The sequence below is a fragment of the Homo sapiens genome, chromosome 22 (assembly GCF_000001405.40).
Source record: "Homo sapiens chromosome 22, GRCh38.p14 Primary Assembly".
Taxonomy (NCBI): Eukaryota; Metazoa; Chordata; class Mammalia; order Primates; family Hominidae; genus Homo; species Homo sapiens.
In genome coordinates this window covers 12146921-12173694 of record NC_000022.11, presented here as the reverse complement: position 1 = coordinate 12173694, position 26774 = coordinate 12146921, and the positions used below count along the sequence as shown (strand labels likewise).

At 45.3% G+C, this 26774-nt stretch overlaps 1 long non-coding RNA gene and 1 pseudogene across 1 annotated transcript in view; both read left to right on the top strand.

The window, feature by feature from the left end:
- Positions 1-6520: 6520 nt before the first annotated feature.
- The window catches only part of LOC105379516 (uncharacterized), a 35671-nt gene continuing 15417 nt past the window's right edge, over positions 6521-26774 (top strand). Inside the window, exons 1-2 of the long non-coding RNA XR_951179.3 lie at positions 6521-6865; positions 14103-14257. This is a non-coding gene — a long non-coding RNA (uncharacterized LOC105379516). The remainder of the gene's footprint in view (positions 6866-14102; positions 14258-26774) is intronic.
- Positions 10184-11614, top strand: LOC107987322 (translation initiation factor IF-2-like; annotated as a pseudogene).

Genomic DNA, 26774 nt, shown 5'->3' with positions numbered 1-26774 from the left:
ATCCCCTAGGGCTTCACCACACTCACCTCTGTCATCACCAGAATCCCACAAGCTCCCATTTCCCTGTCCTCACCGTGATGGGCAATCAATGAAGCCATTGGGCTCTCCCGTGTCCTCCTCTGAGGATTCCTCAGAGTCCCCACGTTCATCAATAATATACCACATGTTCTGACTGCCATCACCCAGCAGCTCACCCCCAGCTCTGGGGGATCTCCTGTGTCTCCCCGCTACTCTCCAAACAACCCCAGATATCAGCTGGAGTCTGCCCCCCACACCCAGGAATCACCTACAAACTCACGATCCTCACAGTGCTCCACCCCTGTGTCTTTCATCTCTTCACCCCGAGGCCTCAGGGACCCTCCTGTGGCTCCCAGTTACTCTCCGGTCATCCCCAGGTTCCTGCGCGAGTCAGCCCCATGCACCCAGGGGTCCCCCAGAGACTCACAGGTCTCGGGAGAATATGAGCGGACCCCAGCCCTGACTCCTCAAGATTCATGTCTGCCTCACCCAGCTTCTCCCTCTCCCCTCCCAGAAACTCAGACCCAAGGGGCAGCTCCTCACCAGGGATGTGGAAGTCCTCTACATCTTCCCGCAGGGCTTCACCACTCTCACATCCATCATCAACAGAATTCCACAACTTTACTTTTCCCTTTCCTAACCAAGCAGGGCAGTCACTCAGGTCTTTGTGTTCTCCCGTGTCCTCCTCTGGAGATTCTTCACAGTCACCTCATTCATCAATAATATACCATATGTTCTTACTGCCATCATGCAGCAGCTCACACCCAGCCACCCATGACTCTCCTGTCTGTCCCAGCTACTCTCAAAATACGCCCAGATTTCAGCGGTAGTCTGTACCACACACCCCAGAAACACCTGCAATCTCACAGACCTCAGTGAGATCCTCGCCAGTCTCTCTCACGTCTTCACCCCCAGCCCTTACGGACCCTCCAGTCTGTCCCAGCTACCCTCCAGCCACGCCAACATTTCAGCGCAGGTCAGTTCCACGAACCTGGGGATCACCACCAAGCCCACAACTGTCACTGAGTTACTCCCCAGTCTCCAACATGTCTTTATCTCCAACCCTCAGGGACTCGCCTGTCTGTCCCAGCTACTCTCCAAACACGCCCACACTTCAGCGAGAGTCCGTTGCAGGCACCCAGAAATCACCACCAAACTCACCAATTTCACTGCGTTACTACCCAGTCTCTCCCATGTCTTCACCATCCCTCAGGGACTCTCCCGTCTGTCCCAGCTACTCTCCAACCACGCCCACATTTCAGCTGGAGTCCGTTCCAAGCACCCCGGAATCACCACCAAACTCCCCAATTTCACTCAGTTACTCCTCAGTCTCTAGCACGTCTTTATCTCCAACCCTCAGGGACTCTCCTGTGTGTCCCAGCTACTCTCCAACCACGCCCACACTTCAGCGGGAGTCAGTTCCAGGCACCCAGGAATCACCACCAAACTCACCAATTTCACTCAATTACTCTCCAGTCTCTCTCATGTCTTCACCAGCCCTCAGGGACTCTCCTGTCTGTCCCAGCTACTCTCCAACCATGCCCACATTTCAGCTGGAGTCAGTTCCAGACAACCCGGAGTCACCACCAAACTCACCAGTTTCACTCAGTTACTCCCCCGTCTCTCTCATGTCTTCACCCCCAGCCCACAGGGACTCTCCTGTGTGTCCCAGCTACTCTCCAACCATGCCCAGATTTCAGGGGGAATCAGTTCCAGGCCCCCAGGTATCACCACCAAACTCAGCAGTTTCACTGAGTTACTCCCCACTCTCTCTCATGTCTTCACCCCCAGCCCCCTGGGACTCTCCTGTCTGTCCCAGCTACTCTCCCACCACGCCCACATTTCAGCGGGAGTCAGCCTCCCACACTCCGGAATCACCTTCAGTCTCCCAGACTTCACTGAGGTCCTCCCTGGTCTCTCTCATGTCTTTGCCCTCAGCCCACAGGTACTCTTGTGTCTCTTTCAGCTACTCTCAAAACTTCTCTAGATTCCAGCTGGAGTCAGTTTCAGGCACCCACGATACACCACCGAACTCACGAATTTCACTGACTTACTCACCAGTCTCCCTCATGTTCTCACCCCCAACTCTCAGGGACTCTTCTGTCTCTCTCAGCTACTCTCCAACCATCTCCAGATTTCACCTGGAGTCAGCTTCCCGCACCCAGGAATCACCTACAAAATCACGGACCTTACTGCAACCCTTCCCCATTTCTTTCACCTCTTCACCCCCTGCCTTCAGAGACTCTCCTGGGTCTCCCAGCTTCTCTCCAGCCTTCCCCAGATTTCTGCCACAGTCAGCCCCAGGCACCCAGGACAACCCTAGACACTCACAGGCCTCACGAGACTATCTCCCTATGACCTGTACCTATACAGGGATGGCTCCCACGCATCCCTCAGTGACCCCAAACCCATCTCCACTTACACTCAGGCACTCCCAGGGCCTGACAGCTACTCCCCGTTATTGTCCTTCGGTTCGAAGCCCTGGTCAATCTACCAGCCCACATGACGCAGTTACCTGGCCATTTCTCCACGGTTCCCGTGAGGGCCCCACACCCAGCCGCACAAGAGCCCCTCCTGCATTCCGTCCTCACACGCAGGCCTGTCCATCTACTTGCTACTGTCACACTCTTGCCAGCAGAAAAGGCCCCTTTTAATGGCCGATATCACCACCCAGTCTATCCTCCCCCCACAGCTGTGCAGCGGGAACCTCCTGCTGGCCCACGTGGATGCCACAGCCCATGCTGGCATGACGCTCCAGCAGGTCGGCGTCCCTGCTTGCCACACTACCGGTGATATGGCTAGCGTGATCCTCGTTCCTTGCAATGACACTGTTGATGTGAACCCCAGTTTCACATCTGTCATTTGTAAATAGGACCATTTTCCCTTTTCGCTCTCCCTTCCATTCACAGGGCTTTTCATTCTCTCTGTTTCTGCCTCCATTTCAGATATTTACTCACCTTTTTCTCTCTCACTATGTCTGCCGTGTTCTCCATGAGAGTGCGCCACATAAGATTCCCCCATTAAAAGTCATGAATTGAGTGGCTTTTAGTATACCTGTGGTTGTGCACATTCAATTTTAATTCGCAATCCATTGTAGAACGTCTTATCACCCCCGACCAGAGAAAATCCCTGTAGACATTAGTCACTCATCATTCTGTCTCAAACCCTCAGGGCCTGATGTGAAGGCACTTTCGTCTGTAGGGGACACATGACCTGCTTCTCTGTGGCGCGGTTTTTTTTTTTTTTTCCTGCCATGGATGCCTCACCTCTCCTTCCTCAAATCTCACCTTCCCCTCATGGCCCTTCTGTCTTCCTTGGGGTACACCTAGCCGCCCGAGGTGCCCTGTGACCTCGAACCACGGACTCCAGGGTCCCTGAGGCCCAGCGCAAGGCCTGATGGGCAGACACTTTCGTCCGTGTGGAGGTCCCAGTCCCCGCTTCTCCGTGGCTGGGTTTTTATTTTCTCTGCCCCAGGTGCCTCACCTTCCTCTCTTGTGCCTTCTGCATGCTTTGGGGTACCCCTAGCGGCCCGAGGCACACCCTGGGCTCGAACCATGGAATCCAGGTTCCACTGGGCCAAGCGGATTGGCTGATGGGAAGACACGTTCTTCCTCGGGGACCCAGGCTCTTCTTCTCTGTGGCGTTTTTTTTTTCTTTTCCCCATGTGCCTCACTTTCCCGTCATGGGCTTTCTGCCCGCCTTTAGGTACCCCTAGCCGGCCCGAGGCGCAGTGTTGTTTTGAGCCAGGGATGCTAGGGTCACCGTGACCCAGTGCAGGACTTATGGGTAGGGACGTTCGTCCATGGGGGACCCAGGCCCCACTTCTGGAAGCGCAGTTTTTTATTTTCTTCTCTGCCACCGGTGTCTCACCTTTCCCTCATGGGCCTTCTGTCTGTCTTGGGGTACCCCTAGCAGTCCCAGGGGCAAGCTGGGCTCGAGCCTGGGATTCCAGGGTCCCCAGGGCGCAATGCAAGCGCTGATGGGAAGACAGTTTCTTCTGTGGGGGACCCAGGCCCCGCTTATCCGCGGCACGGTTGTTGTTGTTTTTTTTTCTCTGCCCCACGTGCGTCACCTTCCCCTCATGGGCCCTCTGCCTGCTTTTGTGTACCCCTAGCGGCCTGAAGCGCACCCTGGTCTCGAACAAGGAATGCCAGGTTCCCCTGGGCCCAGCGCAAGGGCTGATGGGAAGACACTTTCGTCCATTGGGGACCCAGGCTCCGCTTCTCCGTGGTGCAGTTTTTTTTTTTCTGCCACAGGTGCCTCACCTCTCCTTCCTCAAACCTCAACTGCCCCTCATGGGATTTCTGACCGCCTTGTGGTACCCCTAGCAGGCCCGAGGTGCACCCGGGGCTCGAACCAGGATCTCCAGCGTCCACAGGGCCCAGCGCAGGGACTGATGGGAAGGCATTTTCATCCTTGGGGGACCCAGGCCCAGGTTCTCCTAGGCGCGGCTTGTTTTCTTTTTTTTTTTTCTGCCACAGGTTCCTCACCTCTCCTCCCTCAAACGTCAACTTCCCATCATGGGCTTTCTGCTCGACTTGGGGTACCCCTAGCTGCCCAAGGCGCTCCCTGGACTCGAACCATGGATGCCAGAGTCGCCGGGGCCTAGCGCAGGGGCTGATGGGAAGGTACCTTCATCCGTGGGTACCCAGGCCCCGCTTCTCAAAGCTGCGGTTTTTTTCTCCGCCCCAGGTGCCTCACCTTCCCCTCACTGGCCCTCTGCCTGCTTTGGGGTACCACGCGCAGGCCCGAGGCGCTCCCGGGTCTCCAATCAGGGTCGCCAGGTTCTCGGGGCTAGCGCAGAGGCTGATGGGAAGGCACTTTCATCAGTGGGGACCCAGGTCCGGCTTCTCCGAGGTGCTGATATATATATATATATATATATATATATATATATATATATATATATATATGTATTTTTTTTTTCTGACACAGGTGACTCACCTCTCCTCCCTTAAATCTCGCCTTCCTCTCATGGGCTTTCTGGCTTCCTTAGGGTACCCTAGCATGCCGGAGTCTCTTCTGGTCCTTGAACTAGGGTCGCCAGAGTCCAGGGGGCCCAGCGCAGGGGCTGATGAGAAGGCACTTTCGTCCGTGGGAGACCCAGGTCCCGCTTCTCTTCCGCACGGTTTTTTTTTTTTCTGTCGCAGGTGTCTCACCTCTCTTCCCTCAAACCTCACCTTCCCCTCATGGGCCTTCTGCCCGCTTTGGGGTACACCTAGCGGGCCCGAGGTGCACCCAGGCCTATAACCAGGGTCGCCTGGGTCCACGGGGCCCAGTGCAGGGACTGATGGGAAGGCACTTTCTTTCCATGGGAGACCCAGGCCCCACTTCTCCGTGGCGTGGTTTCTTTTTCTTTTCTGTCACAAGTGTCTCACCTCTCCTCCCTCACAGCTCACCTTCCTCTCATGGGCTTTCCACCGCCTTGGGGTACCCCTAGTGGCCCGAGGCTCTCCCTGAGCTCGAACCAGGGACTCTAGATTCCCCGGGGCCCAGTGCAGGGCCTGATGGGAAGGCACTTTCATCCGTGGGGTACCCAGGCCACACCTTTCCGCGGCACGGGTTTCTTTTTTTTCTTTTTCTGTGACAGGTGCCTCACCTCTCCTCCCTCAAAACTCACCTTCCCCTCACGGGCTTTGTGTCCCCAAAGCCCCCCTTGGGGTGCACTTGGCGGCCGAGGCACACCCTGAGCTTGAACGAGGGACACCAGGGTCCCTGGGTCCCAGTTCAGGGACTGATGGGAAGACACTTTCGTCTGTGGGGCACCCAGGCCGTGCTTCTCCGCGGCGAAGTTTTTCTTTTTTTCTCTGCCCCAGGTGCCTCACCTTCCCCTTAGGGGCTTTCTGCCCACCTTGGGGTACCCCTACTGTCCCGAGGCGTACCCCAGGGTCAAACCAGGGACGCCAGGGTCCCCAGGGCCCAGGGAAGGGGCTGATGGGATGGCACTTTCATCCGTGGGGGGCCCAGGCACTGCTTCTCGGCTGAGCGTTTTTTTTTCTCTGCCTCAGGTGCCTCACCTTCCCCTCATGGACCTTTTGTTCGCTTTGTGGTACCCCAAGCTGTCCTGAGGCGCACCCTGGGCTTGAACCAGGGTCGCCAGGGTCCACCAGGCCCAGCATAGGGCCTAATGGGAAGGCACTTTCATCCGTGGGGAACCCAGGTCCCGCTTCTCTGATACGCGGTCCTCTTTTTTTTTTTTTCTGCCCCTGCTGCCTCACCTCTCCTCCCACAAACTTCAACTTCCACTCATGGGCCTTCTGTCCAAGTTGGGGTACCCCTAGTCGCCTGAGGCACACCCTGGGCGTGAACCAGGGATGCCAGGGTCCCTGGGGCCCAGCGCAAGGGCTGATGGGAAAAAACTTTCGTCCCTGGATGACCCAGACACCGCTTCGCGGCGCATTTTTTTTTCTTCTTTGCCCCAGGTGTCTCACCTTCCTCTCATGGGCCTTCTGCCTCTCTGCGCCTGCGCCGGCGCTGTGGGCCTCTCTGCGCCTGCGCCAGCACTGTGGGCCTCTCTGCGCCTTTCGCCAGCGCTGTGGGCCTCTCTGGACCTGCGCTGGCGCTGTGCTCCTTTGCGAGGGCGGAGCTGCGTTCTTCCCAGCACAGACAAGGAAAGCATCGCCAGGGCGGAGCTGAGTTCTCCTCTGCACAGACTTCAGAGATACAGCGAAGGCGGAGCAGTGTTCTCCTCAGCACAGACCCAGGCGGGCCGGGGGCACCGCGAGGGCGGAGCCGCGTTCTGCTCAGCACAGACCCGGGGGACACCGCTAAGGCAGAGCAGCCTTCTCCTCAGCACAGACCTTTGGGGCACTGCCTCGCTTTGGGACAACTCGGGACCGCATAGACGGTGAATAAAATCCTTCCCTTTTGCAGCCCTGAATAATCAGGGTCAGAGACCAGTTAGAAGGGCTCAGTGTGGAAAAGGGAAACCAAAAGCCCCTCTGAATCCTGCCCACCGAGGTTCTCCCCAGCCAAGCCGAGGCGGCCGCAGTGCGAGATCCACACCGCAGCCTCGGAAGACAAATGCAGCATTCCTAATGCAGACATGACACCCAAAATATGACACCCCCATTGCTCATGTAACAAGCACCTGTAATGCTAATGCACTGCCTCAATACAAAAATATTAATATAAGATCCGCAATCCCCTTGCTGCCATGCAGTCCTAAGACAGAGATCATAATAATCAACATTGGCATAGTACAAACGTAGTAACGAACCTAGGGTTAAGGTTGGTGTTAGGGTTAGGGGTTAGGGGTTAAGTTTAGGGTTGGGGTTGGAGATAGGGGTTGGAGTCAGAGTTAAGAGTTAAGAGTCAACGTTTAGAGTTAGAGGTTAGGAGAGGTTAGGGGTTAGGGATAAGGGGTTAGGGTTGGATTAGTGTGAGGGTGAGGGTTGTGGTTAGGGGTTAGGCTTAGGGTTTATGGTTAAGGGTTAGGGTTAGGGGTTAGGGTTAGGGTCAGGGGTTAGGGGTCAGGGTCAGGGGTTAGGGATCAGGGTCAGGGGTCAGGGTCAGGTTCAGGGGTCCCACTCTTTGAGTTGTCCATTTACTCTGCTGACTGTTCCCTTTGCCATGCAAAAGCTGTTTAGTTTAATTAAGTCTCAGCTATTTATCTTTGTTTTTATTGCATTTGCATTTGGGTTCTTGGTCATGAAATCCTTGCGTATGTCAATGTCTAGAAGGGTTTATCCAGTGTTATCTTCTAGAATTTTTATAGTTCAGGAATTAGGTTTAAGTTCTTAATCCATCTTGAGTATATTTTTGTATAAAATGAGAGATGAGAGTCCAGTTTTATTCCCCTGCATGTGGCTCGCCAATTATCCCAACATCATGTGTTGAAAAGGGAGTCTTTCTCCACTTTATGTTTTTGTTTACTTTGTCGAAGATCAGTTGGCTGTAAGTATTTGGGTTAATTTCTGAGTTCTCTCTTCTGTTCCATTGGTCTATGTTCCTATTTTTAAACCAGTACGTTGGTGTTTTGGTAGCTATGGCCTTATTGTACAGTTTGAAATCAAGTAGTGTGATACCTCCAGGTTCTTTTTGCTTAGGCTTGGTTTGGTTACATGGCTCTTTTTTGGTTCCATATTAATTTTAGAATTGTTTTTGTAATTTTGTGAAGAATGATGGTGGCTTTCAGACGGGGATTGCATTGAATTTGTAGATTGCCTTTAACAGAATGGTAATTTTCACAATATTGGTTCTACCCATCCATGAGCATGGGGATGCATTTCCATTTGTTTGTGTCATCTATGACTTATTTTCTTTCGTTTTTTTTTTTTTTTTTTTTTTTTCAGAGGGAGTTTAGCTCTTGTCGCTGAGGTGTGAGTGCAATGGTGTGATCTCGGCTCACTACAACTTCTGCCTCCCGGGTTCAAGCGATTCTCCTGCCTCAGCTTCCCGAGTAGCTCGGATTATAGGCATGTGCCACCGTGCTTGACTCCAGCTATGATTTCTTTCAGTAGTGTTTTGTAATTTTCATTGTAGCTGTCCTTTTATTTCTTTGCTAGGTATATTCCTAAGTTTTGTTTTTTTGTTGTTGTTTGTCGCAGCTATTGTAAAAGGGGTTGAGTTCTTGATGTGATTCTCTGCTTGGTAGCTGTTGATGTATGGAAGAGCTACTGATTTGTGTCCATTAATCTTGTATCTGGAAACTTTGCTGAATTCTTTTATCAGTTCTAGGAGGTTTCTAGAGGAGTCCGTAGCGTTTTCTAGGCAAAAGATTATATCATCAGCAACAAGTGACAGTTTGACTTCCTGTTTACCGATTTGGATTTCCTCTATTTCCTTCTTTTGTCTGATTGCTCTGGCTAGGACTTCCAGTACTATGTTGAAGAGGAGTGGTGAGAGTAGGCTCCTCGTCTTGTTCCAGTTCTCAAAGGGAATGCTTTCACCGTTTCCCCATTCAGTATTATGTTGGCTGTGGGTTTGTCATAGATGGCTTTTATTACATTAAGGTATGTCCCTTGTATGCCTATTTTGCTGAGAGCTTTAGTCATAAAGCAATGCTAGATTTTGTCAAATGTTTTTTCTGCACCTGTTGATATAATCATATTAATTTTTTTTAATTCTGTTTATTTGGTGTATCACACTTATTGACTTGCATATGTGAAACCACTCCTATATCATTGGTATAAAACCCACTTGATCATGGTGGATTATTTTTTGATATGTTGTCGGATTCAGTTAGATAGTATTTTGTTAAGGATTTTGGCATCTGCGTTCATCAAGGATATTGGTCTGTAGTTTTCTTTTTTGGTTATGTCCTTCCATGGTTTTGGTATTAGGGTGACTCTGGCTTCATAGAATGAATAAGGGAGGGTTTCTTCTTTCTCTGTCTTGTGGAATAGTATGAAAAGATTGGTATCATTTCTTCCTTGAATGAAAGAAGACATTCTTTGAATGTCTGGTAGAATTCTGCTGTGAATCTGTCTGGCCCTCGGCTTTTTTTGCTGGTAATTTTAAAATTACCATTTCAATCTTGCTGCTTGCTTTATTGGTCTGCTTGGGGTATCTAATTCTTCCTGATTTAAGCTAGGAGAGTTGTATTTTTCCAGGAATTTATCCAACTCTTCTAGGTTTTGTAGTTTATGTGCCAAAAGGTGTTCATAGTACCCTTGAATAATCTTTAATATTTCAGTGGTGTCAGTTGTAAGATCCCCTGTTTCATTTCTTAGTGAGGTTATTTGGATTTTCTCTCTTCTTTTCTGGGTTAATTTTGCTAATGGTCTATCAATTTTATTTATCTTTTCAAATAACCAACTTTTTGTTTTATTTATGTTTTGTATTTGTTGTTGTTGTTGTTGTGTCAATTTCATTTAGTTGTGCTCTGATCTTTGTTATTTCCTGTGTTTGCTGGGATTGGGTTTGGCTTGTTCCTGCTTCTCTAGTTCCCTGAGATGTGAACTTAGATTGTCTGTTTGTGCTCTTTCAGACTTTTTGATGTAGGTTTTTAGGACTACAAACTTTGCTCTTAGCAGTGCCTTTGCTGTATCCCAGAGGTCTTGATAGGTTATGTCATCCAGTTCGAAGAAATTTTTTACATTTCCATCTTGATTTCATTTTTCACCCAATGCTCATTCTGTGAGGAACAACAAATTGTTTTCCGCAGCAAGGGCATCATTTTCTATTCCTAGCAGCCAGATCATGAGGGCTCCAACTTCTCCACCTCCTTAGCAACATTTATTTTCTGTGTCATTGTTATGAAAGCCTTACTTGTGGATGCAGAGTGGCATGAATGAAGTCAATTAACACGTTTATTACCTCACAGAATAGTCACCTTTTTGTGTGCATGGGTGGGATAAGAAAACTTAACTCTATCCCCTGTGACGGAATAGTGGCCATTCCAGCTGCTCCAGGCTCCAGCAGAGGAAGACCGGGGTATGTGGCCCCACCAGGGTGACCCTCAGGCCTGGCGCGCACGCATTCCAGAGGCCACCCAAACCATGCTGTGCCATCTGGGCGCCCAAGCTGCCGTCGCCCTCTGTGTGCAGGCAGCAGCTGCCTGGCAACCCCCGAGCCCGCTCGCGCTCCTAGCATCATAGAAGCAGGGCCACGTGTCCCAGTGGCTGCAGCCAAGCCAGGCATTCTGCCCTGCTGCAGCAGCTGCACAGGAGCGAGAACTGAGAAGCCACCGCTCAACCCCACACGAGGTGACTGCCGAGTGCCCATACAAATGGCTCCGATCTCCCTCAGGTGGAGGAGTGGTCGGGAGGCACGGCCTGGGGGCCCTCACGCTGGGCGCGCTGGTGATCCCAAGGCCGACCAGGCCATGCACCTCCAGCCCGCCTGGGCACCCGAGCTGCAGCCACCTTCTGCGTGCAGGCAGCAGCCTCCAGGCAACTCCCGAGCCCGCCCACACTCCCCACATCTCGGAAGCAGGGCCAAATGTCCCTGTGGCTGTGGCCAAGCCAGGCGGTCTGTCCCTGCAGCAGCTGCACAGGGGCGGGAACCGGCCCTCAGCCCCATCCCCTGTGGCTGCAGAGGGCCCCTGGATAGAGATGTGGAGTTCTGACAGAGGAGGAGCCGGGCCGGGACAGGGTCTGGCAGGCTCTCAGGCCAGGGGCACCCGCGATCCAGAGGCTGCCCAGGGCATGCTCCACCACCTGGGCGCCCAGCTACAGGCGCCGGGCGACTCCCAAGCTGGCTGGCGCTCCCAGCCTCGCAGAACCGGGGCTAGATGTCGCCGTGGCTGCGACCAAGCCAGGCGGTCTGCCCAGGGGCGGCTGCACCGGGGCAGGAACCGACCCTCAGCACCATCCCCGGTGGCTGCAGACGGCCCCTGGGGTGGCCCCGATCTCTCTTCGGAGGAGGAGAGGGGCGGGAGTCACGGCCAGGCGGGCCCTCAGGCGGGAAGGAATGTGCGCCTGCCATTCCGGGACGTCCCGCGCCAGCCCAGGAGAACCCGCAAGCCAGCGGAGCCTGTTTCTCTGTGTGATTCTTTGAGGAACCACCAAACTCTTTTCCACAGCAAGTGCATCATTTTCTATTCCTAGCAGCCAGTTCATGAGGGCTCCAGTTTCTCCACCTCCTTAGCAACATTGATTTTCTGTGTCGTTGTTATGAAAGCCTTACTAGTGGATGCAAAGTGGCATCTCATTTGGGTTTTACCTTGCATTTTATTAATGAATAATGGTGTTTAGCATCTTTTCTTTTCCTTCTTAGACATTTGTGTATCTTCTTTGGAGAAATGTCTGTTCAAGTCCTTTGACTATTTTTTAATTGGGATCTTAGAAATTCTGTTGTTGAGTTGTGGGATATTAAGCTTTTATCAGATACACATTTTGATTTTATCAGATACATATTTTCTCACATATTATGGGTTGTCTTTTCACTCCCTTGATAGTATCCTTTGATGCATAAAGGGTTTTTTATTTTGATTCAATCTAATTTTCCTGTATTTTCTTTTGTTATCTGTGCTTTTCTGTCACATTTCAAAATACACTTAAAACTCAAAGGTCATAAAGGTTTACCGTGTGTTTTCTTCTAAGAGTTACATATTTTTAGTCCTTACATTTAAGTCTTTTATTAATTTAGAATTAATTTTTGTATATACTGCAAGGTAGGGGTCTAACTTCTCTCTTGTGCACTGACATCCAGCTGTTGAAGAGACTGTTCTTTCCTCCCTTGACTAGACTTGGCCACCTTGTTGAACAGTCATTGACCATATATGTGAGGACTAACTTGTAGTATCTCAAATCTGTTCTGTTGTATTGGTCTGAAAGCCTATTGGCCTTATTCCAGTACCACACTCTCTTGATTACTGTAGATTTGTAGTAGGCTGTGAAACTGAAAAATGTGAGTTTTCCAATGTTCTTTTTCAAGACTGTTTTGTCTGTCAGATCCTTTGAATTTTTGTATGATTTTAGAATGAGTTTCTTTGTTTCTGCAAAAATGCCTTTGGGATTTTGATGGTATTGCATTGAATCTGTAGATTACTTTAGATGGTATTGTCATCTTAACAATATTGTCTTACAACCCGTGAACACAGAATGTCTTTCCACTTATTTCCACTCTCTTTAGTTTTTTGCAGCAATGTTTTGTGTACACCACCATGGTTAGATTTATGCCTGAATAACGTATTCTTTGATGTCATTATAAATGGAATTTTTAAAATGTTTTCATAGTTCTTTACAACTATATAGAAATATAGCTCATTTGCCTATGTTTGTTTGCATCCTGCCTCTTTTATTAGTTATAATCGGTTTTGTGTTTTGTTTGGAGCTTTATACCCATAAGATCATGTGTAGATATAATTTTACACCTATTTTTTATTTCTAATTTAGATGCCTTTTATTTCTTTGTCTTGCCTAATTGCTCTGGCTAGAACTGCCAGTGCTACGTTGAATACAAGTGGCAAATGCACCATCCTTTTCTTCTAGATGTTAGGAAAACAGCTTTCAGTGTTTCATCATTGATCATGATATTAACTGTTGGGTTTTTGTACATCCCATTGTCATGTTGCAGAAGATCCCTTCTATGCCTAGTTTATTGAGTATTTTTATTATAGAAGGGTGTTGTATTTCATCAATGTTTTCTCTGCATCAATTGAAATAATCACGTGCTTATTCATTTTACTGTTACAGCATATTACACTGATTGATTTTTTATATGTTGAACCACCCTTGCATTTTGGGGATAAATCTCAAAGGTTGATAGTTTACAATCCTTTGATTATACAGTAGTGCTGCTAGTATTTTGCTAGTATTGCTAGTATTTTGCTGAGATTTTTGCTTATATATTCATAGGGGATATAGTGCTGTATTTCTCTCTTTTGTGCTCTCTTTGTCTTTGGTATAAGGATAATGCTGTTATCAAAAAATGAATTAGCAAGTATTCCTTCTTCATATATTTTGTCAGAAGAGTTTGAGAAGAAATGGTATTAATTCTTCTTTAAATGTTAGGTTGACTCACCAGTTAATGCAGCTATTTGGTCATACATGTTTCTTTGTTAATCGCTTTCGATTACTAATTCAATCTCCTAGGTTATAGGTCTATTCAGATTTTCTCTTTCTTCTTGAGCCACTTTGGTAGTTTGTGTCTTTCTAGCGATTCATCCATTTCATCCAGGGCACCTAATTTGTTGCTAGACAGTTGTTCACAGTATACTCCTGTAATCCTTTTTTATTTCTGTAAAGTTGGTAGTAATGGCTCTGCTTTCATTTATTATTTTAATAATTAGTCTCCCATCTTTTGCTCAGTCAATATAGTGAAAGGCTTGATCTTTCAAAGAATCTACATTTTTTCATTCTACTGCTCTCCAACCTTCTATTTTATTGATTTATGCTCTAATTATGCTCTTTATTATTTCTTTCCTTCTGCTAGCTTTGGATTTAGTCTTCCACCTGGATTTATTTTGGGAGTGATATTGATGTAACTTCATGGAAATAATACTAGATAGAAAGTTAGCGGATAGATTCTCTATCTGATGAGAGTTTGGGGCAAGTCGAGTACCAGGTTACCAAGTTTTATTTTTTTCTCTGACCCAAAAAACAATTTGGCAGCCGGTGAGAAACTCTCACAGCTCTGGATGTGAGTTTAGGACACTGCATTTCTACCATTCAATTTCTTACTACTTTTTTGCACAGGGATCATGGCACAAGTTGCAGTTTCCACCCTGCCAATGGAAGATGAGGAGTCCATGGAAGATGAGTAGTCCATTGAAGATGAGGAGTCTGTTGAAGATGATTCCGTGGAGAGCAGGATGGTGGTAACATTTCTCATATCAGCTCTCGAGTCCACGGTGAGACCTTCTGTTCTAACATGATATAATTGGGTAGAACTGGGTGGTAGATAAGGTTGATTTGTTTTTGTAGAACTTATAATTTTATGATTTGTAGTTCTAATGAGTAGATCTTTTTCTGGAATAGTAGTTATGGTCAAACACTTCTAACCAAATGTGCCATGTTGTCCAGTCTGGTCTCAAAATATGGGGCTCAAGAGACCTGCCCACCTTGGCCTCCCAAAATACTGGGATTACAGGTGTAAGCCCCTGAATCTGGCCAGATATTTTTCTTTTTATGGCTGAATAATACTCTGTGTATGTATATATTACATTTTCTTTATCTATTCACCTACTGATGGGCATTAGGTTTGGGCGACCTTTTGGCCACTGTGAATAATGCTGCTGTTAATCGGGTGTACAAATACCTGTTTGAGTCCCTGCTCTCAGTTCTTTTGGGTATATACGCTTAAAGGGTGTTGATGGATCATATAATTCTATGCTTCATATTTTTAAGGAGCTGCTAAACCATTTTCCACAGTGGGCTGTACCATTTTACATTCCAAAAAGCAATGCATACAGCTTCCAATTTCTCTATAGCATTGCTGACAGTTAATATTTTCTGTTTATGTATTGTATTTTTATAGTGTTTGAAATTAATCTAAGGCTTTTTGCTGATACCAAAATATTAGGAAAGGTTTTCCAAAAATAATACTGCTTATTATAAAGGATTTTACGTGTTACTTGATGCCCTGTGATCTGTTTTCTAAGTAAGAAGAGGAACTTCTTGGCTGGGCACAGCGTCTCATGCCTGTAATCCTAGCACTTTTGGAGGCCGAGGTGGGTAGATCACCTAAGGTCAGGAGTTCAAGACCAGCCTGGCCAACATAGTGAAACCCAGTCTCCACTAAAAAAAAAAAAAAAAATAGCTGGGTGTGGTGGGGGGTGCCTCTAATCCCAGGTATTCGGAAGGCTGAGGCAGAGAATTGATTAAACCCATAAGGCAGAGGTTACAGTGACCGAGATTGCACCACTGCACCCCAGCCTGTGTGACAGAGCGAGAGTTCATCTCAAAAAAAAAAAAAAAGGAAAGAAAGAAGAGGAACTTCTCTCCATCCAGCCTCATTCCACTGCACCAACTCTTCTGTGTCGGGTTGTGCAGGAGAGAAAGGGAGCTTGGCAACTCTTTGCTGTGCTGAGTTGTGGTAGCCCATCACTGGGTTGTAAAGTGCCTTGCCTCCTTTCCTCCCCTCCTTTTTTTTTGAGACAGAATCTCACTCTGTCGTCCAGGCTGAGGTGCAGTGGTGCGATCTCTGCTCACTGCAACCTCAGCCTCCTGGGTTCAAGTGATTCTCCTGCCTCAGCCTCCCAGGAGGCTGGGACTACAGGCACATGCCACCACACCTGGCTAACTTTTTTTTATTTTTAGTAGAGAAAGGGTATCACCATGTTGGCCAGGCTGGTCTTGAACTCCTGACTTCAGGTGATTCACCCACCTTGGCCCCCCAAAGTGCTGGGGTTAAAGGCATGAGACACTGCACCCGTCCACCTCCTCTTTTACTTGGGAGAAATGCACAGATTCTGGGTGTCATGTGCATTTGTTTTGGGAGTGATAATTGATCTAACTTATGGAAATAATACTAGATAGTTAGCGGATGGATTCTGTATCTGATGAGAGTTTTGGGCAAAACGAATTCCTAGTTTCTGAGTCTTATTTTTCCCCTGATTCAAGAAAACTGTGAATTATCCAGCCAGTAAAAAACTCTCACAGCTCTGGATGTGAGTTTAGGACACTGGATTTCTACCACTCATTTTCTTACTACTTTTCCTGTGCAAGGATCATGACACAAGTTGCAGGTTCCACCCTGCCCATTGAAGATGAGGAGTCTGTTGAAGATGAGGAGTCCTTGGAGAGCAGGATGGTGGTGACATTCCTGTCAGCTCTCGCCTCCATGGTCAGACCTTCTGTTCTCACATTCTGTAGTTCGGTAGGACTGGGCGGTAGATAAGGTTGATTTGTTTTCGTAGAACTTACAATTTTGTGATTTTTAGTTCTAATGAGTAGACCTTTTTCGTGAATAGTAGTTACGATCAAACACCTCTGACCAAATGTGCATGTGGAGTTTCTACACTGATTTTCAGACAATCTGGATCCCAACTGGGTATCCCACAATTCCATCCTGACACTCCCTGGAGTTAGTGCAGACCCCGCAGGATGGGAGCTCAGTCCCAGGAGTCTACCCTCACTCCACATGCCAATTGCAAGTCTTGGGTTGTTACATGTAGTTTTGACCAACCAGTTAGAAAACAGGGTTTCATGACCCCCATTGGTGGGTGGAATCATTTGCTCGGACCGCTTGCAGAACTCAGAAAAACAGATTGTTTTCTTTTTTTCCTGAGATACAGGGTCTAAGTCTGTTGCCAGGCTGGAATGCAGTGGTGTGATCAAAGCTCACTGTAGCATGGGACTCCAGGGTTCAAGTGATCCTCCCACCTCAGCCTCCCAAATAGCTGAGATTATAGGCCTGTACCAGCATATCTGGCTATGTTCTTTTACTTTTTGTAGAGATGGGGTCTTGTTATGTTGCCCAGGCTGGTCTCAAATTTCTGGGCTCACGTGATCCTCCCACCTCAACTTCACAAAATGCTGGGATTATGGGCATGAACCACTGCATCTCACCAATTTACTTTCTTTTACTGGTTCATTTTAAAGGCTAAATCTCAGAAACAGCCAGTGAAAGAGATGTACATGCTGGGCACAGTGGCTCATGCCTGTAATTTCAGCACTTTGGGAGACTGAGGCGGGAGCATCGCTTAAGTGCTCAGGAGATTAAGACCAGCCTGGGTAACAAGGTGAAAATGCATCTCTACAAAAAGATTTTTCTAAAAATTAGCCAGGCACAGTTATCTATAGTTCTAGCTACTCAGTGCCTATAATTCTAGCTACTCAGGAGGCTGAGGTGAGAGGATGAGAGGATGGGGCTTGAGATAGGGAGGCATAGTTCGCAGTGAGCCACGATTGTGCCATGGCACTCTAGGCTGGGAGACAGAGCCAGACTCTGTCTCAAAAAAAAAAAAAACCCACAGGGCAAGGTATGTCGAAAGGGGTACAGAACTTCCATGTCCTCTATTGTGCATGTTACCTTCCTGGTATCTCCCTTGTGTTCAGCAACCCAGACATTCTCCAACTCCAGTTGTTGAGGGCGCTTATGAACGCTTCATTATGCAGGCAAGATTGATGAAGTCATTGACCATTGGTGATTAAGTCAGTCTTCGGCCACTATTTCTTCCTGGAGCCCAGGGGGTGAGGCTGACAGTTCCAAGCCTCTAATCACATGGTTTGTTCTTCTGACAACAACCACCCCTTTTTCTGAAGCTGTCTAGGAGTTTTCAGTCACCCAGTCATCTCAGTAACATCACCAAATGCATTCTTACTATGGTGATCCCAAAGGTCTTAGAGGCTCTTGTGTTAGAAACCTGGGACTAAGACCAAATATTGAAACAGAAGATGCCCCATCACCTTCATCACCAAGGCCTTTATAAGAGCTTGAGAAGCTCTGTGCCAGGATGAGGGGCAGAAACCAAATGTGTATTTCTTTTCTTTTTCTTTTGAACACAGAGTCTCTGTTTCACCCAATCTGGAGTGCAGTGATGTTGTTGTAGCTAACTGCAGCCTCAACCACCTGTGCTCAAGCAATTCTCCCACCTCAGCCTTCCAAGCATCTGGGACTACAGGTGCACACCATCCATGCCCAGCTAATTTTTGTATTTTTTTTGTAGAGGTGGGATCTTGTTATATTGCCGAGGCTAGTCTTGAACTCTGGGGCTAAAGCGATCCATTCACCACAACCTCTCAAGTAGCTGAAACTACAGATGCATACTACCATGCCCAGCTAATTTTTTCTTATTTCTTTTTGTTGTTTAATTGAGGGGGTCTCGCTGTGTTTCCCAGGCTGGTCCTGAAGTTTTGGCCTCAAACGTTTCTCCTGCTTTGACCTCCTAAACTGTTGGGATTATGGTTGTGAGCCACGGCCTCTGTGTCCAGCAATCACAAGAGGTCTTTATAAGTGAAAGAGGGAGGTAAGAGAGTCCGAATTGAAGGAGATTTGATGATGGAAGCACAGGTCACAGAGGGAGATTCGAATATGCTTTGCTTCTGGCTTTGAAGATGCAGTTAGGGGCCATGAGCCAAAGAATAGGAGTGGCTTTAGCAACTGGGAAAGGCAAGGGAACATATTCTCTCCAGAACCTCCAGAAGGGATGCAGTCCTGCTGGCACCTTGACTTTAGCCTTAATAGACCTATTTTGGACTTCTGGCCCCCAGACTTCTTAGTTAGTAGATTTGTGGTGTATTAAGCCACTCAATGTAGGGTAGTTTGTAACAGCGGCAAGAAGAAATGAACATGAAGCCAGAATTGGTGGCCCACACCTATAATTCCAGCTATTTAGGAGGCTGAGGCAGGATGGTTGCTTTGGCCCAGGAGTTCACGGTAAGTCTGGGCAACAAAATAATACCCTGTCGACATGGAAAAAAAAAATAGCGGGTGTGGTGGCATGCACTTGTAGTCTTAGCTACTAGAGGCCCTGAGGCAGGACAATTTCTTGACCTAGGTGCTCCAGGTCTCAGTGCGTTGTGATCGTGCCATGGCACCCCAGTCTGAGTGACACAGCGAGATTATATCTTAGAAAAAAAAAGAAAAAAGAAATGAGTGAGCATGGCAGGAATAGGGACAGATAGCAATATTAAATAGAGTGGTCAGGGTTGGCCTCCTAAGTGAAAATTGAGCAAAGACTTGAAGGAGGGGAAGGAGCTGGCCAAGGTACTGAGGGAAGAGCATTGTAGGCAGAAACAACAGAATAAAGATGCTAAGAGGGAACTCCGTGGTGTGTCTGAAGCTCAGGAAAGAGGTCTGTGGAGTAGAGAGAGGGAGAGAAGTAGGGAAGGAGGCCAGGGAGTTGTTGGACTCAGATCAGTACAGATTGTGTAAGCCCTGGGAGGCTATTGCTGGGGCTTTGGTTTTTATTCTGTCTGAGATGGGAGAAGCAGAAGGGTTCTGAGCAGAGAGGTGACACGAACTGTCTACTGATTTAAAAGCATCCCATGGCAGCTGAGTTGAGAAAGATTGTGGGAAGATTTGCGTAGAAGCAGGGAGGCCATGCTGTGGCAACCTCCAGGTGGGAGATGATAGTGGTTCTGACCAGGGCCCTGGCAATGGTGAGAGATGGTTGATTCTTGTTGAAATACTAAGTAATTAAAAAAAAAACCACTACTGCTTTTCCCAATTATATGAAGTATGGGATGCTAGATTACAGAAATCTTAAGTCGGGCCAGGTGCAGTGGCTTATGCCTGTAGCTTCAGCACTTTGGGAGGCAGAGATGGGAGAATGGTTTGAGTCCAGGAGTTTGAGACCACCCTGGGCAACACAGCAAGACCTCCTGTCTATGCAAATAAAAATTATTAAAATATAATTATCCCGGCATAGTGGTATTTTCCTGTAGAACCTGTTACTTAGGTTGTTGAGGTGGGCAGATCTCTTGAGGGCGGGAGTTTGAGGCCAGCTTGGTCAACATAACAAGGCTCCTCTTTCTACAAAAAAAAAAAAATTAGCTGGGTGTTTTGGTGTTCATCTGTAGCTGTAGCTATGGTGAGGGTGAGGCAGGAGGATCTCCAGAGCCCAGGAGGTCACGGCTGCAGTTAGCTATGAGTGCACCCCTGCATTGCAGCCAGAGTGACAGAGTGAGACCCGGTCTCAGAATACAGATACAAGTAAAGAAATCTCAGCTCAGAGCAGTCTGTTTGTCACTATGCAGCCTTTGCAACCCCATAGCTGCGTGATTGGGTTTGTGTTGCTGGAGATGAGGAGACCCGTGCCCAGGTGTTGTTGCCTGTCTAATCAGTTTATTTTAAAATATATTAAGGAAATTTATTTCATCATACTTTATGGCCTCATACCTGAGTGGTTTTTTGAATTCTCCTTTGAATAGCTTGTAACTATTCAAACCTCTTATTGGTTCTATAATTAATTCTTTTTCTAATTAGTTTTTTAAAAATCAGAATTGATACTAGACCAATCAGTTATTAATGAGGAGATGAAATTGAGTTGTTTGTACACTTTGTCTAAGATAGTGTTATATTGGCTAACTCAAATCAGTATTTCAGCAAATGCAGAGTCAGAGCTTCTTCAGCGTGGAACTCTCTTGTGGTTCTTGAAGATGCCAATTCTTTTTTTTTTTTTTTTTTTTTGAGACAGCATCTTCCTCTGTCACCAGGCTCGAGTGCAGTGGCACAATCTCAATTCACAGCAACTTCTGCCTCCCGGGTTCAAGCATTTCTTTTGCCTCAGCCTCTGAAGTAGCTGGGAATACAGGCACATGTCACTATGCCCGGCTAAGCTTTGTATTTTCTGTAGATACGGGGTTTCAGCATGTTGGACAGGCTGGTCTTGAACTCCTGACCTTGTGATCCACTGGCCTTGGTCTCCTAAAGTGCTGGGATTACAGGTGTGAGCCACCGTGCCTGGCCTCTTTTTTCAGTCTTTAATAAACTGCTGCCATCATTTCAGACCACTTGCTATTTTAGGCACTTAGAAATTTTTCACTGGAATTCATGTAAAGAAAGACCATGGGTGTTTGTACTGGATTTAGTATTCATCCTTCGACTGCATGACTCACCCCTAGTGCCATAATTTACTAATGAATTTTTCAGATACTACTCAGCTGGCCACTGAACCTAACCAGCAACCCACCCTCAACCATTCAGTGGTATTTTGTTCTTCTCTGTTCCTCCTGAATGTTGATTACTCTCAGAAGGTGATAAAAACTTGGATTTCTTTTTTTTTTCTTTCTAGAGACAGGGTTTTGTTCTGTCACCCAGGCTGCAGTGCGGTGGCATGATCATGGTTCACTGCAGCCTGAAACCCCGGACTCAAACAGTCCTCCCACCTCAGCCTCCCAAGTAGCTGGGACTACATACATTTGCCCCTATGCCCAGCTAACTTCTTTATTTTTTATTGTACAGATGGGATCTTGCTGTGTTGCTCAGGATGTTGTCAGACTCCTGGCCTCAAGTGATCATTCTGCCTCAGCTTCCCAAAGTGTTTGGATTATATGTAGGTGGGAGCCACCTGTGTTCAATGCCCATTTTCTTTTTCTTTCTTTCTTTTGGAGACGGACTCTCACTCTGTCATGCAGGCTGGAATGCAGTGGTGTGATCTCAGCTGACTGCAACCTCCACCTCCCTGGTTCAAGCAACTCCCCTGCCTCAGCCTCGCAACTAGCTGGAATTACAGACCCATGTCACCACTCTCAGCTAATATTTTTGTATTTTTAGTAGAGACAGAGTTTCAGTATGTTGGCCAGACTGGTCTCAAACTCCTGAAATCAGGCAATCCACCCACCTTGGCCTCCCAGTGTGCTGAGATCAGAGGCGTGAGTCACCACGCCATGCCCAGCCATTTTTAAAATAATAACGTTATTGAAATATGATTAACGTATCATGCAATTCATTTATCAAAGTACGCAATTCAGGCCAGGTGCAGTGGCTAATTCCTATAACGCTAAGACTTTGGGCAGCTGAGGCAGGTGGATCGCTTGTGTTCAGGAGTTTGCGACTAGCCTGGGCAACATGGCAAAACAGCATCTCTAGCAAAAATACAAAAATTAGCTGGGTGTGGTGGCTCATGCCTGTAGTCCCAACTACTTGGGGACATGAGACTGGAAGATCACTTGAGCCCAGAAGCCATAGGTTGCAGTGAGACCAGATGGCACCACTGCACTACAGCATGGGTGACAAAAGGAGACCCTGTCTTTAAATAACTAAAGAAAAAAAGAAAGTATACAATTGAGTGGTTTTTAGAATATTCAAGGAGCTGTGCATTCATCACCACAGTCTTTCTTAGAAGTGATTACCCACTTGTAAGTTACCCACTTATGAGTGAGAAACCCTCACCTCTTAGCCACTACCTCCTACGTACCCTATATTCATAGGCAACCACTGATTTATTTTCTGTCATTGTAGTTTTGCCTAATCTGGACCTTTTATAGAAATAGAATTGTACAATGTGTGATCTTTTGTAATTTGCTTTTTTTCTCTTAGCAGAATATTTTCAAATTTCTTTCATGTTATAGTGTGTACCAGGATTTCTTTCCTTTTGTAGCTGAGTAATAGTTTATGTTTATCCATTCATTAGTTGATGGACATTTGTGTTGTTTTTGCGTATTCACCATCATGAGTCAGGCTGCTATGAACACTCGTACATAAGTTTTAGTGTGAACATATATTTTTATTTCTCTTGGATTTACACTCAGGAGTGAAATTGTCACATTATGTGATTACTATACATTTAGTCTTTGAGAAACTGCCACGTTGTTTTTCAAAGTGGTTACACTGGTCAGGCACAGTGGCTCACACCTTTAATCTCAGGTATTTGAGACACTGAGTTTGGAGGATTTTCTTAGCTTGGGAGTTCAGGACAACCCTGGGCAACATAGGGAAACAATGTCTTGATTTTTTAAAAAAATCAAATGCCAAGAAAACACCCAAATTGATTACACCATTTTATGTTCCCACCAGTAATGTATGTGAGTTCCAATTATTCCAATTGTCACCAACTTTTTTTTTTGAGACAAAATCTTGCTCTGTTGCCCAGGCTGGAGTGCAGTGACATGAACATGGCCAGTGCAGCTGTGACCTTCCAGGCACAAGTGATCCTCTCACCTCAGCCTCCTAAGTAGCTGGGACTTACAGGTGCATGCTATCATGTGCAGCTGATTTTTACAGTTTTTGGTAGAAATGGGGTGTTGTCATGTAGCCCAGGTTTGTGTCAAACTCCTGAGCTCAAGTGATCTGCCTGCTTCAGCTTCCGGAAGTGCTGAGATTACAGGTGTGTGCCACCATGCCCGACTGGTGTAACCACTTTGGAAAGCAGCCACTGAGCCCGGCCTTCACCAGTATATCAATATTTGTTAATATTGTTTTATTTTTTACAATTTTTCCATTTTTAAAAACTTATTCTTTTACCTGTATTATTGATTATAATAAACAACGAATAATTTTGTAGTAGAGTTGAGTCCCCTCAAAAAGTATTTATTGTTTAACTGAAGTAGTTTTTTTTTAACCTGGATATATATTTTTTCATTTTCACTTTATTTTTAGTGTTTATTTTAAAAAATTATTTATATGTATTTTTATTTTAATAGGTGTTTGAGAAACAGGTGGTGTTTGGTTCCATGAATAAGTTCTTCAGTGTTGATTTCTGAAATGTAGTACCCCTCATTACTCATTAAATTATATATTAAGTCATTATAAAATCATTAATAAACCAAGGACTTTAGTAAAATGGGAATTTTATTTTAACTTGCAACCTGGGACGTAACTGTCAAAAAAATTAGAGAAATTACCACATTAAGGTTTTAAAATCTTGAACTGAAAAATGAAAACCTTGGTGCACCTAAGAACCACCAGCCCACTGGTCAAAGTGAACAAAACTAAATGAAAAAATAAAACCAAGAAAACCAAACTCAGGATTATTAGGTATTCTGTAATGCTATTTTATCTTTGGACTCACAGAAAATAGTTATTATTATTATTACTCTTATTATTATTATTATTTTGATATGGAGCCTCACTCTGTCACCCAGGCTGGAGTGCAGTGGCGCAATCTTGGCTCACTGCATCCTCTGCCTCCTGGGTTCAAGTGATTCTCCTGCCTCAGCCTTCAGAGTAGTTGGGATTACAGGCAGGTTCCACCATGCCTGGCTAACTTGTATTTTTGGTAGAGACAGGGTTTCACCATGTTGGCCAGGCTGGTCTGAAACTCCTGGTCTCAAGCAATCTGCCTACCTCAGCCTCCCAAAGTGCTGGAATTACAGGCATGAGCCACTCTGCTCAGCTGAAAATAGTTAATTTTATGTATATTCCAAGTCAGAATACATCCTATTTTTGAATATTTGATGACTTTAGGATACTATATTAACTCTTAATTGAATTAATACAAGTTTAGGTGTAAAGATGATGTTTATGTTGACAAAAATGATTAATGTTTTACATATATGAAAGTAACAATATCATATATTTTTCATACTTGTAGAATACTTTGAAATCTATTATTAGCTAATATTTTATATTCATTTTGGGTTTTCACATTATTGTTAGATCCAGAGAAAAGTAATATTTTGTGAATACTCAAATCATAAACATTTTGCTGGATGCATTCATAGATACTTTATTTAAAAAGTACACTAATTGAAGTTTTACACCATTTTATGATTCATCAAACACAGCAACTGAATACTGGCGTATAGCAACATTACAGATGATGTTAGTCTAAGATAAAACTCATAACACATTTTAAAAAGGGTAAAAGGAAGGAAAGGAAAAAGGATCCAAGGCTGTAGAAAGATTTTAAAAACAAACATCGTATGTCTGAACCTTTGCCTGGAGTTTCTTATTTTGTGAAAAGCAGTTTGTAAGTAGAGGACTCGTAAGTGCACCTAGTACACTGCAATGGCACAGACACGGCAGATAGTCAATAAAATGATCTTTAACTTCTGATCTAGATTATTTTTGTTGTTGTTCATGTATTAACCTAGTGAATCTCAGCCAATAGATGGAGTGGCATTGACCTGCACAACTTCCAAAATCCCATCCAACCTTAGTGTCCTCTGAAGTTCTCCATAACTTATTGTCTGTTCCAACCAACATTTAGCATAAGCTACAGCTTATATTGTTAATAATTCTTCTATGTTTATGTGCTGATTTGCAAATAAATGGGCCTATATAGTCTTTATCTAGTGTTGGATTGGGATCAAAAGCTTCATGAAATCATTGTTTTTAGTATACGTACAGATGGATAATTGTATAAATAAGTACAGATGTGTATAAATGTGTGAGTATACATACATATATTTTCTAGCTCCTCTAACAAAAGGGTCTAGAAACAACATCATCCCAGTAACAATGAGAACACCATTCTCCAATTAAAGGAACCAAGGCTCCTTGGGGACATATTTGATATCAGGATTGGGCAGGGAAAATACAAGATTAGTTTGAAATATTTTGTCATGTTAGGAAGTAAGGAAATGCTCACAAAATGGAGAAGATGTGAAAGGGAAACAGATCCACTTTGAATAAACTTCCATAGCCCAATTTGAGAAAATTGGGGCAATAAAATAGATAACAATAGTAATATATTACAATCTACAGAAGAAAATTTTCAATTAATCCAGGCCGGGTGCGGTGGCTCATGCCTGTATTCCCAGCACTTTGGGAGGCAGAGGCGGGCAGGTCACTTGAGGTCAGGAGTTCGAGACCAGCCTGACCAATGTGGTGAATCCCTGCCTTCACTAAAAATACAAAAATTAGCCGAGCATGGTGGCACATGTCTGTAGTCCCAGCTACTCTGGAGGCTGAGGCAGGAGAATGGCTTGAATCCCGGAAGGTGGAAGTGCAGTGAGTGGAAATCGCACCATTGCACACCAGCCTGGATGACAAAACAGACTCCAACTCAAAAAAAAAAAAATCCATATTGACATAAATAATAAACCAAAGATTGAGAATGGGTAGTATTTTATTACAGTAAGATTTCATTAAATGTAGGAGACATTAAATATAAGAATCATCACTTTGCAAATATCATAGTAATAATTGTTGCAAGAAAGAACCTTGGAGGGATGCTAAGATTAGTGGTGAATATATGTTGGGAAAGAACATATTTGCATAATATGAAAGTATCTTCCCACAAGATAATTATAGAATAATAACTTCAAAGTGGAGATGTCAACTTACCCAAGTGATCAAAGTTAACATTACTAATAATAAGATAAATGAACTTCATGTAACTTCTTATATGATGCACTGAGTAGGACAAAACATCAATTCTATGGTATTCTTAGACAAAATGTATAACTTTAGTCCTAACCGTGAGAAAACATCAGACTAACTGAAATTGAGGAGGGACATTCTACAAAATAACTGCCAGTATTCATCAAAAGCATTTTAGAAAGACTGAGGAATTCTCCAGAGACATGGAGGCATGTTATCTAAGTGCAATGGAGAACATGCATTGTATCATGAACCAGAGATGGACAACAGTAGGATATGTACAATAACACCCCAACATTTGAACATTAAACAAAATACTTCAGAAAAACCCATTGGCCAAGAAAAGTTTCACACACAAAAAAAATAGTTTAAAGTGAAAGAAAAATTTTTAAGAACTTAATAAAATGTGGGATGCAGATAAATCGTTTCTTAAAGGTACATTTATACATGTAATATATTGAAAATAAAAGGCTTCAATCAATGACCTTTAGGTTCTTTTTTAAGAGGCTAAAAAATGAGCAAAGTATATCCAAATTAAGAAGAAGGAAGATGATAAAGATAAAAATGTAAACCAACAACATAGCAAATAACAAAAGGTGGAGCTAATTAATATACCCACAAATTGGTTATTTGAAAAAAAAATTTTTAATAAACAATGGCTAGCAAGATTTATCTCGAAAAAAATTAGAGAAGCTACATAATGTAGATAATGGGAA